General features: G+C 39.7%; 1 protein-coding gene and 1 long non-coding RNA gene across 14 annotated transcripts in view; both read right to left on the reverse strand.

Annotated features, from left to right (window-relative positions):
- Window positions 1-4262, reverse strand: part of LOC107984419 (uncharacterized) — a 28828-nt gene extending 24566 nt beyond the window's left edge. The window contains exons 1-3 of the long non-coding RNA XR_001748485.1: window positions 4004-4262; window positions 2971-3078; window positions 2285-2426 (exon numbers count right to left, since the gene is read on the reverse strand). This is a non-coding gene — a long non-coding RNA (uncharacterized LOC107984419). The remainder of the gene's footprint in view (window positions 1-2284; window positions 2427-2970; window positions 3079-4003) is intronic.
- A 4404-nt stretch (window positions 4263-8666) lies between these two features.
- Window positions 8667-13616, reverse strand: part of DCDC1 (doublecortin domain containing 1) — a 506137-nt gene continuing 501187 nt past the window's right edge. For 12 of the 13 annotated variants that reach the window (XM_024448478.2, XM_024448476.2, XM_024448475.2 and 9 more), the window contains one exon: window positions 8667-10396. The gene's annotated coding sequence lies outside the window, so the exon portion shown is untranslated. The other variant, XM_024448472.2, reaches the window with a different exon arrangement.

A 13616-nucleotide genomic window follows, 5' to 3' on the forward strand; every position in this document is an offset into this window, starting at 1 on the left:
GAGGGCTCCACCTCCATGGTGGGATTGGTACTGTTAGGAAGGGTGCCTTTAGCCTCCTCTTGCTCCGTCTCTCACCCTCTCGCCTTCTGCCATGTGATGATGCGGCCAGAAGACACTTGTTAGGTGCCATCACCTTGATACTCAACTTTTCAGCTTCCAGAACTGTGAGCCAATAAATTTCTGTTCATTATAAATTACCCAGTCTGTGGTATTCTGTGATAGTAGCACAAAACAGACTAAAACAAGGTCTTTATTGTGATTCTAAATCTGGCCTAAATGATATCACGTAGTCTGTTAATTTTTTATATAGATGCCCTTTGTGTCACATTTTCTGCTGGCTTATGTGTCTTTTAATCACACCTCACAGCAACAGGAGCTACTTGACAGGGTGCCACGGTACCAACTTTTTCATCCTTGGATGCAATTTCAGAACGGTATTCCATCAAAAGGAGCAGCAGGATTCTATTAGAACATCTCTTATCTAATACAGAAACACAGTTCTGTCACCACCAAATTTTCCAGTTCACAAATGCTAAGAGTTTCAATACTATTACAACCACATAGTTCAACGGGATTTAAAACCTATTTTTAAAACAGTAGACTGGATTCATCTTTAATACATAGACCGAGTTTTCCATGTGTTCATATGCCACCTAGTGGGCTATATTACATACAAAATGTAAAACTGATCTTTTGAATTATAATCTAGCATTTTCTTCCTAAAATTTGAGGTCCAAGTGACAAATCTTAGCCAGTAAAATCTCTAAATTTAAAAGGTAACGTTACATATTCAGCACAGAGTCAGTTTGAAAGAGACCAAAATTTGGAATTCCTTTTAAACATTTCATCTGCGGCGATTTAAAACAAGAAAATATCTCCATCAAAGGGTTTAGGTTTGAGTTACCATTGACAGTAGTGGAAAGACAAACTGGTGAAAAATAAAAGTAGCCTATTTTATCTAAGGGGGTTAAGGTGTGGAGCAAATAGAAAAACAAGACTTCACAATTCAAAGTAGCTGACAATTTTAAAGATACATGATGTTTCACAACCTCTTGAAGGATTAGGCATTTTTAAGGCACCTCTATGTTAGGTTAAAGCTGATGTTCAAAAAGTAGTTATTGACTGTTTACCATGTGCTGAGCACTAAGCTAGGGACCGAGATAAAAGAATGGGCAAAACTAAAGAGAACTCTTGCCCTAAAGAAGCAGAGATCTGCTACTTCAGAACACTCTGGATTTTGCCACTGAATTTTACAGTTAGTATTATGACACCGTTTTACACATGTTTTCATTGACGTAATCCTAACAGAATTAATTATGCTGTTACTAAAGGGCAGAGTGAACTCAGTTATGGTGATTACTGACTTTCCAGAGTTCTAGGACTGTTAGGAGAGCTGTAGCAGCTATGGAAGTAAACTGTTTTTTTTTTCTTTTTCTTTTCTTTTTGAGATGGGGTTTCACTCTGTTGCCCAAGCTGGTCTCGAACTCCTGGGCTCAAGTGATGTTTTTGCCTGGGCCTCCCAAAGTGCTGGGATTACAGGAGTGAGCCACCACACCCATCCCTGAGGAAGCAAACTTGTTGAAGCAGTTTGGTCTTCTCACTGACTGAAGATGAGAGAAATCTTATCAGCTTGCTATCATGTGATTTTGGGAGAATTCTTCATACTTGCCTGGGGTTAGCTTGAGAATTGATCATCTTCCATGGAGTGCTTGAATCATTTCCCATAAGGCCCAGAAACGGAGCAATGAAAAGAGCTTAAGATAATGAAAAGGGCCAATGTCCACGAAGTTGGAAATTCAGTGTATACCATAATTCACAGACTTCTCCAGTATTAAATGAGTAAAGAAGGGGAGAAGCTAGGGGACTGCACTGAACTTCCTGCTGTTCTATTGTTTTGGTTAAAGCAGTAATTGCCCTCAACTCTTTTTTGGCTTCCCAAGCCACTCTCCAAAAAGCACCATCAAAATTTCCAAAGCAACCAAGAAGTCTAAAGAGCAACCTGATGCTTTGAGTAAAACACATGGAGTTAATCATGGAAGTTTAGGTGCAATGCTTCCTACTCTTCCACAACCTACTTTTGATATACCCTTCCTCTCAGTATATGTATATCTCAGTATATGGAACCCGGCAGTATAATCTCTATCGAAAAATGTTTCATGCAAATGACTACCAGAATGAGAATCTTGGCACTGAATGATATCAGATAATTTGCTAAAGGTTGGTAAAATCTTGGTGAGCACTCAGGAGAAATGGCAAAAAAGAACAGAGTTGATGTGGTTTTTACCTGTAGTAAGAGAAGTATAGTGAAGTGGGTAGAGCGGAAGCTCTGGTCTCAGGGCCACCCAGGTTTGAATCCCATCACTACCACTTCCTGGCAGTGGAAATTTTGGGTGAGTGACTTAACCTCTCAGAGGCTATTTCATCATCTATAAAAGGAAAAAATGACAGAATCTCTGAAAGGGTTGTTATGATGATTAAATATCGTAAGTAAAGTGTTTATCACAATGCCTGGCATATAGCAAGTTTTTAATTTAGTTGAGGCAGCTATTTTTATTATGATTTTTATAATTATTAATATTTATTATTCTAGTAAGCTTCATTTGGAGATGTTTGGCTGCTACATTTAGTTCTGGATGACACATTGTAAGAAGGCTATATAATATGAATGAGAGAGAAATTAAAGAAGTTTTCACCAGATGTATCATGAAATCATGTTGCCCAAGGACTGAGTGTGAAAGTTACAGCCTTGGAGAAGCATCACATTGGACTTCAACTATTGACAGGCCTCTCATTTGTAAGAAGGGTCAGGCTTGCTCATTGCAGCCACAGATAAAGAACTAATCAGAGAGAATAGAAATTACAGGTACCTATATCTCAGGTCGATGTAAGAAAGAATTTTCCTCAGAACTATCAGAAGGGAGAAGGGCTATGTGGTAAGGTGGCAAATTTCCTGTCCATGGAGATGCTTACATGTGGAAGACCAGTTGCCATGGGTATTACGCCGGGTGGATACAGTTCAACTATTCAATGAATATAGGATTAGGTGGTTGTCCAAGGCTCCTTCAATGTTGAGATTTTCTGATTCAAGGAGAAAGAAGAAGAAAAAGACAATAAAAAATGCCAAAAGGAAGAAAAGGAGGGAGGCAGCCATCCCTGTTTCATTTGTTTTCTCCCTCCCTTCTGGGGAGTGTGGGATTTAGCAAGGGCCACCACTAGCCCATAAAGTAACTTTGTCCAACTTCAAAAATGGCACCCCTTCTGAGCTGATGTAACATCATGTGTTCAGGGCTTGACAATGTGGGGGTGTCCTTGTGAAAATTATAAAAAGAAGTTTCTTCCTCTGGGCAGAGGCATTATGAGAGGAATGAACACTGAATTTCAGTCCCCTCTTGCCTTCTCAATCTGCACCACTGTATGTGGCAATGCTGGCTTTACCTTTCTGGCCCTTTCAGTGTGTGTGTGTAGATAGTCTTTCTCCTCAGACCATTGTTACCCGGTTGGAGATGGAGTCTAGGCACTGCTTTCCCTTTCTAAGTCAAGCAAGAGAAACTGGTAGTTGCCTTTAAGTCTTTTTCAGCTCTTAGAACTTGGGAGTGTGACTTGAGCAACATGATCATTATACCCAAGAGCATGTGCTTAGAAGAAAGCAAAAATCTGTGGAAAGCATTATAGAATATTGGATCAGTAATGATGGATGTTTATGAGTTTTGGCTACCAGCATACGTTTTCCTGCTTTATAGTATCCCAGTTTCTCCTTGTGTCTGTAACTGAGGTGAGAGATTAATGCTGGGGGCTCATCTTCTACATATCTTTCCTCTCCCTGTCCTCTCAGCCAGGATTTGAGCATGTGAATGGAGCCTGGTCAGTCAGGCACGATCTTCTCTCCTGAGACCTTGAATGTTGGGCTGGTCTGGAACCAAGTTAAATAACAGGAAGTTATTCACCTACCTGCCTGTCTTCCCCAGGTACCATAGATTTCTGTGTCTCCTGCTCTGCTTCCTACCTTCAGCTTCTTGTTCTCCGGCATCCCTTCAATTCTGTGAGCCCCCTCTTTCGCTTCATGTAATCTCCTCGTTGCTTTTGTTGTAAATGATAGATTTCTGTTGCTTGCAACCAAGAACTCTGAAATACCAATATTAAAGTTGAAAATAGCAGCACTTGTTAATGATATGAATGGCTCATAAATCATAAAATCTCTACTACTAAAAAGACTAAATTGTTTTCATGCTGAGATGGTGTATCACCTCCTGGCCCAAACTCCATTCCTGAAATAACAAAAATTATGATGTTAGCTTTATATTTATTGAGCATTAATTGACTGTTGAGCTAAGTGCTTTACATAGAACATCTCACTTAATTCTCACAACTCATCCAAAATAAATATTAAGATTTTACTCATTTTATAAATAAAGAAACTGAGGCTGAGAGTGACTTGCTCAAAATTGAGGTAGAAAGTGGCAGAGCCAATATTTGAACCCATGTCTGAGTCACTCCAGAAACTCTGCTTATAACTACTGTGCTGTTCTGTCTCTTCTTCTGCCTGACTGACTTACACGTGGGGAACATTTTTAAAAATATTTCTTCGAACGATGAAATAGTCATGATAAATCAAATAATGAGAAATTAAAAAAAAAAACCCACGCATAAATTGTGAATTAGCTTCAGGAAAAGGCAAATTCAGCTTATTTACAGAGTAGCTGGCTGTGTCTTAGCTTTCGATATTTATGTGTTACCCTTGGGACTCCCCGTTTCCCCCTGTTTTGGGTGCACAGTGCATGGGAGCAGCCATGTATTTCAGCTGGGTCTTTCCTGCCTGTTAAATATCTATTGGGCTAAGCACTCTCCAAGCTCCCAGCAAGTTCATTAGTTACCTGAAAATATCTACCTCATCTGTCATCAGCACTCAAATGGCCTGAGGGATTTTTCATTTCCACTCCATTTTCCAAACTCTTTCTAGCATTTACCTCCCACATCTGGAATCAATCCTGACCAGCAGCAAAATGCTGAACAGCCGGGCTCCTCCCAGGGCAGACTTTCTTTCTCCCAAGGAGAGACAAGAATACATCGCATATGAATTAGCCATTCTCTTCTAGGGAAAACTGGCAGCAGAGGCAGCTTCTGCATTCTAATTTGCTCATCTAACCCCTTCATCTTTACTTGTTTAAGCAAAATATTTAGTTTAACATTTTCAGTCATTAGAGCTGAAAAAACACACATATTTTTAAACTAGATTTTATTTGTGTTGCAAATTGTGAGTATCCTTCAAAAATATCCCAGCTCGTTATCCCTTTACTCCCTTGGTAGAAAAGATTTTTAGACAACAGTCTTAGGAAACATCACTGACTTCCAAGCCTCAGTACCATTGCCCCACCACTGTTGCCGTCACCACTTCCTAGAGAAAAGAGAGTATCAGTTTGCCAATGACAACTAACTCAATTCCAAGGATGATTTAAACATTTGATTTTATGTTATTTTGGGGATTGTTTTTGTTTCTAGATAGTGTGGAGGCCAGCTTCATAGACTTCTAGAATTGCTTTCTAGGGGACAACATTCAGATCCTTGTGAAGGAAATATAGTTAATTTATTATAGATTATTATTTTCCTTTTGGTGGGGAAGGACTGCATAGGAAAAGCTGACCTCAAGAAACTAAACTCCACACATCTTTTTACAATTATTCTTGAGAATATCTTCATGAAAAAATCACAAAAAGTAAATGGCACCAAAGCTGCTTTCTGACAGCCCCTAAGAAAATATGTATGGGACATGCAGATGGGAAAAGTCAATCTCTTAATTGGATGAACTGCATAATTTTACTAATACAGCACATCCTGCCCTTAATTTTAAATCATCCAAAGTTGTTTTTTTTTTTTTAGTTCTAGAAGAAACAGCAATATAAAAAAATTCAAAATGGCCAACATATCTCAAGATATAGCCCTCAGCACCTGCAGGGTGATTATCTCTGCTGACAAAGTGAAATATTACTATGGATAATAGAAAGTTACAAAAAAATAGAGAGAAAAACTAATGAGAGGCAATCAGGAAGCTAGAAAGGCAGTTTTCTACAAAAGATTTCCTAATTTAAGATAGTGAATAATGTGCTTCTGCTCCCTTTAAGGTCAATAATCTGATCATCAAGTGTTTTGAGTTGTAAACAATTTTGAAATATCTACACCGCACCGGGCATTGTGCGAAGTCTCTTCTCAAGTTAACACATCCACCATGCTCCCAGCGCGTGCACCAGGCACTGTGGGGATGCAAATGAACTGCAAGAGCCTGCTCTGTCCTTTTCTTACATAACTAGCCAATGCAATGGTGAAACCCCTGAGAAAGCAAATCCAACCTCCGGATTGAGGGGATAAAAACAATGTGAACAGTAAGCTCTTTGAAAAGAAAACCGCTTCCCTATGGTAGAAAATAAGGGGGAAGGGGGCCCATGCAGGGAGCCCAGCAAGCAGAAAAGGTAGGCCCTAGGGAGTGTGATATTACACAGGAACATAATGGGGTTGACTGCATACTTGTCTAATTACTGGAGCTATTAAAATCTCTATAATTTAGATTCAGTCAAAAAAAAAGGCTCGTATAAATGCACACACATGCTCCCGATTGGATTTTATGAATCCATTCCTCTCGATTCTAAAAGGACACCACCCTGCTGTGTACATGTGGCTGCTAAACCTGAATGACCTTCTCCCCCTGGCCCTGCCCTTGCCCCCTGACTAGTGTACTCTGTTACTGTAATAAGCAGTTCGGTTAGATAAGGCGATGCTTGATGGAATCATCTGTGTTGAAGCCGAATTATAATGCCTCAGTCAACGGATTTAATCTAAACCAAATGTTTTGGGATTCTGAAAGCTCCAGGAGCAGAGAAAATATAAGTTTTATATTTGCTGAAGTTCAAACAGAGAGCAGACGGAGAGATTCCAGAAGCTCAGAGAGTGGTAGCAAAAAAAAAAAAAAAAAAAAGTGTTGTTTCTCCTGAGTTCAATCAAAGGAACAAGTAGGGTGCACTTTGCATTCACCTTCTCCTTTTGTTTTCTCTTCTATGAACTTTCCTTTCTCTTGACATATTATCTGCTAATGTCAAAATGAACTTGATACAGTAAGTACGTAGCATATGGTAGGTGCTCAATAAACACTTCTGGAATAAACAAATGGGCCATGGTTAGTGTAGGGGTTTAGTGTCCACGCTGTTAGTCTCATACTTCTCTAACCCCTTTCTTAGCCATGAGTTGAGGCAAATTTACTTAACATCAGGGCCTCAGTTTCCAGATATGCAAAGTGGAGCTAATAACAGTTGTGTGGATTAAACAGGTCAATGCATCTAAAGTACTAGCATAATGTCTGATCCATAGATGGTAGTTTCCTAGCTAACCTTCATTAGCTTTCACACCAGTGCTCTTACCTACTGGGCAAGACTTCCCCTCCTGAGAACACTGGCCATTTCCTTTTAACTGGTCTTCCCCACACCCTTCTTTCTTTGTTTTAGTTAAAGATGGGATTTAAGCCTGAAACTTAGACCACCTCTTTGAGAATTCCTCATTTCCTGGGCACCTCCCATATATAAATGGGATATACACATTAATAAACTTCTGTTTGTGTTTCTCTTGTTAGTCTGTCTTTTGTTAGTGGTCTGTCCCAGCTAAGAACTCAGAAGGGTTGAGAGAAAGTTATTTTTCTTCCTCTACAGTACATATGCCTAATTTTGAAGACTACTACTTTCATTAAAAACACAGAAAAAGTACTTTTCCATGCTTCATTTTATCTGATGATAAAAATAACTTTTTGGGGCTGAAGGGAAATATTACTATTCTCATTCCACAGATAAGAAAATAGATATGTCCCATGGGTGGTGAGAATCAAGCTACAGTTGAAACTCAACTCTACATTTGATACTCAACAAAGGTTTAACGAGCACCTACTGTGTCCCAGGCACCATGCTGGGCTCTGGAAACAAAACAGTGGATAGCGGTCTTGAAGGGCATCTTCAGGCTCCTAGTCTAGTGCTCTTAATAATCTGATAATTTAGCCAATGACATTGACATTAATTCATAATCCAATATGTTTTTACATATCAAAATTTAATAGCTTTAAGGAGGTTTCTAAATACCTTAAAAGGAGTCAGAAGACACTTTTTGCAGGATTTATAACTAAAACTACAGTAAACAGTGACTAAATTAACAGAAGTACAGTTGTAACATGACTTGGGAATAAAATCATTGGAAAGTCATCTGAACGCTTGGCAACATCACCATCTTAGATAAGAGATAAATGCACTAAAAGTGTAGCAGTGGAAATAGCTGGGGGTTCCAACCCAAGGTGCCCCATTTTTCCATGGCCAAACAGCAGGGATTTCCAGGTAGGCTCTGTGCGTTTACAGGCCACTCCTCTGCTGAGTTTCAATCCCCAACTGCCAGGCCTGTCAGTGTTCCCTATTATTCTCCTGACAGACAAAAGGAAAGCAGTATGTATTCCTTCTGCCTGTAACAGGAGCCAGCAAAATGGCTTTGTGATTGTGAGACATGTCAACTTAATTAGCTTTTTTCCTTCCAGGTAATAAGGGTTTTCTCCAAGGAATGACCAAAATTAACAACGCAGTTTGAGGAAGTTGATATTTCCTTCTCTTTTCCCACTTAAGATTCCTAGATGCAAAAATCACACCCACACATGCTAATAAATCTACATGGTTTATTGTTTTTGAATAAAACAAAATAAGATATTACTACAGAGAAAGTTAGAATCACTTCATCTGACGCGTATTTAGAAATCATCCATTTGAGAAGTCCAGATTACGTATCCCCCACACCTTAAAGATTATGGAAATGAGAAATATCTTCTCTTTTATCAGAACTTCTTTATTTGGAAAGTTCTGTGACAAACATCCACAGTTCTGTGCACAAACATTTTTTGGGCTGGGTGTGGTGGCTTACGCCTGTAATCCCAGCACTTTGGGAGGCAGAGGCGAGTGGATCACCTGAGGTCAGGAGTTTGAGACCAGCTTGACCAACAAGGTGAAACCCCATCTCTACTAAAAATACAAAAGTTAGCTGGGTGTGGTGGCAGGCGCCTGTAGTCCCAGCTACTCAGGAGGCTGAGACAGGAGAATTGCTTGAACCTGGGAAGGGGAGCTTGTAGTGAGCTGAGATCGCGCCACTGAACTCCAGACTGGGCAACAGAGTGAGACTCCATCTCAAAAAAAAAAAATTGCATATCTGTATTTTGTGAGATTATGGCTTTCCAAAAGATTCTTAAAGAGCTATATAAACCAAATCAACTTGAGAACTGCTTCATGATTGCCTGTCGAAGTCTCAAATGTTGTCAATTCATCTATAAGTAATTTCACATAACTTTTGGATGTTTCTTCAAACTTGGGATTTGAAACCAATATGTATAATCATCAAAGATATATTTTAAGGATATAAGATGTCTAGTTTATACCATGACATTTCTTTCATTTGCACAATTTCGAGAAGTGTTTCTTTCCTCTGAAAAGCAGAGAGGACTATCCCAGTATAACTCCATTTAATTTCACTCTGAGGATTGTAGTTTCTGAGCAGCTGACTGAAAGGAAATTCTATAAAGCAGATCCTCTATTCCCATTGTACTGTTGTAATTTTGGTTTGCGGCTCAGGCCAAGAGTAGAAGAACTGAACCTCATGTCCCCATCATGTTGCTGTGGGGTGGGACTGATGAGTTTTATCAGTGAGCCCTTGTGGGTAGAGCTCTGTCCCAAGTAAATAAAACCAAGGGTGTTCCTGCCCTCTAGGCACTTATCATTTAGTTGGGGAGACAAAACATGCAGTCAGTGTATATGCTTTTTTTTTTCCAATAAGCCACACGATAAACTGGAAAAATTTAGAGAATGTATACAGATTTCACTGGCATACAAAATGTCTATGGCTAACAATGCTCTCGATTATGGTATGTCATACTATGAATTTATGGATATATTGTCTCATTTTTCAATGTTCATTCTTCAAAATAGGCCCATTGAAAAAACTGAGTTATTTTGAAGGATAAATTTATTTTTTATTTTTTATTTTTTGCAGAGGCCTCCACTTTTTATTTCAGTTGTACTCATCTGTCCCACTGTGCAAATGGAGTCACACGCTCACTCAATTCTGAGAGGCCTGGCCAAGGCAAAGAGAAAAGATGCCCAGAGCAGTCTGTTAGAGTTGCATTCTCAGACTAATATCTTTACAGTCTTGAGAAATCACTGTCAGGGTTTATTTAAAATGCAGATTTTTGAAGGATAAATTTTACGACTAATTTTTTTTAATAAACTATGCAGGATTGTTATTTAGAAGATTTGCCAAATTTAGAGTCTTCAGCGATGGAAATAATTGGCCTTCTTGTCACAGTCTTCTGTTTATAAGTGGGTAAAGAAAGTTTTCTTTCCTGTAAGGTAGAGAGAGAAACAAATCTATATATATGTATATACATGAACACACGCACACACATACACACATTTATATACACACATAGTATATATGAAGTTCAGTAGAATTTGCTATTGAAAAAATTATCAGAATAGGTGCATTAAACTTGATAGGGTTTGTAAAATTTATAGAGGCATCCCCTTCAAGGCCTGATGTGAGTTATGAAATCTAATTTTGTTTTCATAGCTCTGTGATAAAATTTTATCAATGTTATAAAAGGGGTCTTTACTAAGACTGACCGGAAATCTGAACTATCTGGCCAGGCAATAAAAACACATTCCTTAGCAGCAAAGTGTCAGACAAGCAAGGTTTAACTAAAATTGATCGATAAGTCTTCCTTTTACAGTTGAGTGCATTCAATTTACCTCATAGGATAATAGTTTTTTTTTTAATGGTTTTTCCATTAATATCAGACATCAGTGTTAGTAAGGAACAAGAAAGACATAAAAGAGAGAGGCATGTCATCAAGAAAGAATGTTGCAATCTTTAATGGTAGGGCACTTGTGCTATGAAGAAGGCTTGTGTGGGTGAGGTTTGGGGATTTTTGTTACTGATTATTATGGGTTGAATTGCATTCCCCCAAAATTCACATGTCAAAATCCTAACCCCCAGCACCTCAGGATGTGATCTTATTTGGAAATAAGATCATTGCAGATGTAATTAGGTAAGATGAAGTCACACTAGACTAGGGTGGGCCCCTAATCCAGTATCACTGATGTCCTTACAACAATGGGAAAATTTGGACCCAAGGACACAGGAAGAATGTCACATAAATATGAAGGCAGGGATTGAGGTGATGCTTCTACAACCCAAGAAATGTCAAAAGATTGCCAGCTTTTCTTAGTCTATTCAGGTTTCTATCATGAAATAACATAGACTGGGTAGCTTAGAAAAAATACAAATTTATTTCTCACTGTTCTGGAGGCTGGGAAGTCTATGATCAAGGTGTCGGCAGATTTGGTGTCTAGTGAGGGCTTGCTTCCTGTTTCATATGGTGCCTGGTTCCAATGGTGCCTTCTTGCTGTGTCCCCACATAGTGGAAGAGGCATGGCAGCTCTCTTGGGCTTATTTTATAAGGGCACTAATTCCATTCATGAGGCTACTGCCCTCATGACTTAATTAGCCCCTAAGGGTCCCAGCTCTTACTACTATTACATTGAGGATTGGGTTTCAACATATGAATTTTGGAGGGACACAAATTTTCAGTCCACAGCACCAGCAAATCATCAGAAACTAAGGAGAGGAATGGCACAGATTCTTCCTCATAGCCCTCAGAAGGAATCAGTGCTGCCAACACCTTGATCTTGGACTTCCAGCCTTCAGAACTGTGAGACAACACACTTTTGTTGTTTAAGCTACCCCTCTTGTGGTACTTAATTATGGCACCTACTGTGGTCTGAATATGACTTCCAAAAGTCATGTTCTGTAAACTGACTCCCCAATGCAACAACGTTGGGAAGTGGGGCATTTTGAGAGGTATTTGGGTCATGAGGGATTTACCCTCATAAATGGATTAATGCTGCTATAAAAAGGGCATGTGGGAGTGGGTTTGCTTTCTCTTGCCCTTCCACTTTCTGCCCTGTGGGGAAGCAGTAAGAAGACCCTCACCATACACCAGTGCCTTGATTGTGATCTTGGACTTCCCAGCCTCCAGAAATGTGAGAAATAGATTTCTGTTCTCACACCTTGGGTTGGGCATCCAAATGTAGCTTACCTTGCCTAACTCAGTTGTCATCAGGAAAGTCATCCAAATAAGCGGCAACTAAACCATAAAAATGATCACTTCAAGGCATCTAGTGAACTCATTTTCAGAATTACCAAGACCACATCTAACATTTCTATTGCACTGAAAACTTACAAGGGGTTTCTAGGGAACCTAAATGGAAAAAGCAGGCTTTGAGGTTAGGCAGATTTGGGTATAAATCCCAGTTCTGCCACTTATTGGCTGGTGCCTTTAGCAAAGATATTTCACTTCTTGAAAGCCCAGCTTTCCCGTCTGTAAAATGTAAAAGTAGTAGAAGAAATATCTACTTCGTAGGGTGGTTGTGAATACTGAATGAGACAGACAACATTTATGTAAAAGTCCATTATGGTGCCCGGTACAGGTAGACACTCTAAAAATGTTAGTGCCCTTCTCTTCCTGTGTTGATGATCTCATTTGAGTCTTATGCCAAGAAACTTTCCCAAGACTGCAGGAAGGTAAGACTCAAGTCAGGCCTTTGTCTCCAAGTCCAGGAATCTTTCCCTGGAAGGAGTGACCTCCAGACCTTGGCTACCACAAAGTCATGCTATGACCTCCCTCTGTTGCTCTGGTGAGATTTAAATTGGGCTTCTGAAGGTGAAGGTGACCCCATATGCAGATCCTGGTGAGCACCTGTAGAAAGGACCTACTAAGCAGATGAACTTCCAGGAATCAGCTGGAAGAGAGAGAGAGGAAAAAATAAAATCATATCTTCCTAATCATATCACTGAATTAGAATCAGACTTTTAAAGCTGGGTGCAACTTTAGAGGAATCTGCTCTTTTCATTTTCTAGAAGAGGATGTAGCAGCTTATATGGTCCCTCGGCCAGTCAGCATCAAGTTGGATGATCTCATGAGTCCCAGCCCAATATTCCTTCCATTCTAATTAGTGTCCTGAATACCCACAATGTCAGCTCAAGAATGGAAGAACCAGAATAGATCCAAAGATATGTAAAATAGTCTCAGAATAAGCCTTTGTCATTGAAGAGAAATGTGGCTTTAGTGGAATCAAGATGCTTCCTAACTCTGATTCTTACACCAAGACAAGGTGAAGGTGGATTTCAAAATGGTGCTATAACTGCAATTTAGTAGAGGGGGAGGGGTGCATCCATGCTCTTTCATACCTGCTTTTTTTTTTTTTTTTTTTTTTTTTTGATATGGAGTCTTACTCTGTTGCCCAGGCTGGAGTGTAGTGGTGTGATCTCGGCTCACTGCAGCCTCCGCCTCCCGGGTTCCAGAGATTCTCCTGCCTCAGCCTCTCAAGTAGCTGGGATTACAAGTGCCCACCACCACACGTGGTTAATTTTTGTATTTTTAGTAGAGATGGGGTTTCACCATGTTGGCCAGGCTGGTCTTGAACTCCTGACCTCAGGTGATCCACCCACCTCGGCCTCCCAAAGTGCTAGGATTACAGGCATGAGCCACCACGCCCAGCCCA

The sequence above is a fragment of the Homo sapiens genome, chromosome 11 (assembly GCF_000001405.40).
Source record: "Homo sapiens chromosome 11, GRCh38.p14 Primary Assembly".
Classification (NCBI taxonomy): Eukaryota; Metazoa; Chordata; class Mammalia; order Primates; family Hominidae; genus Homo; species Homo sapiens.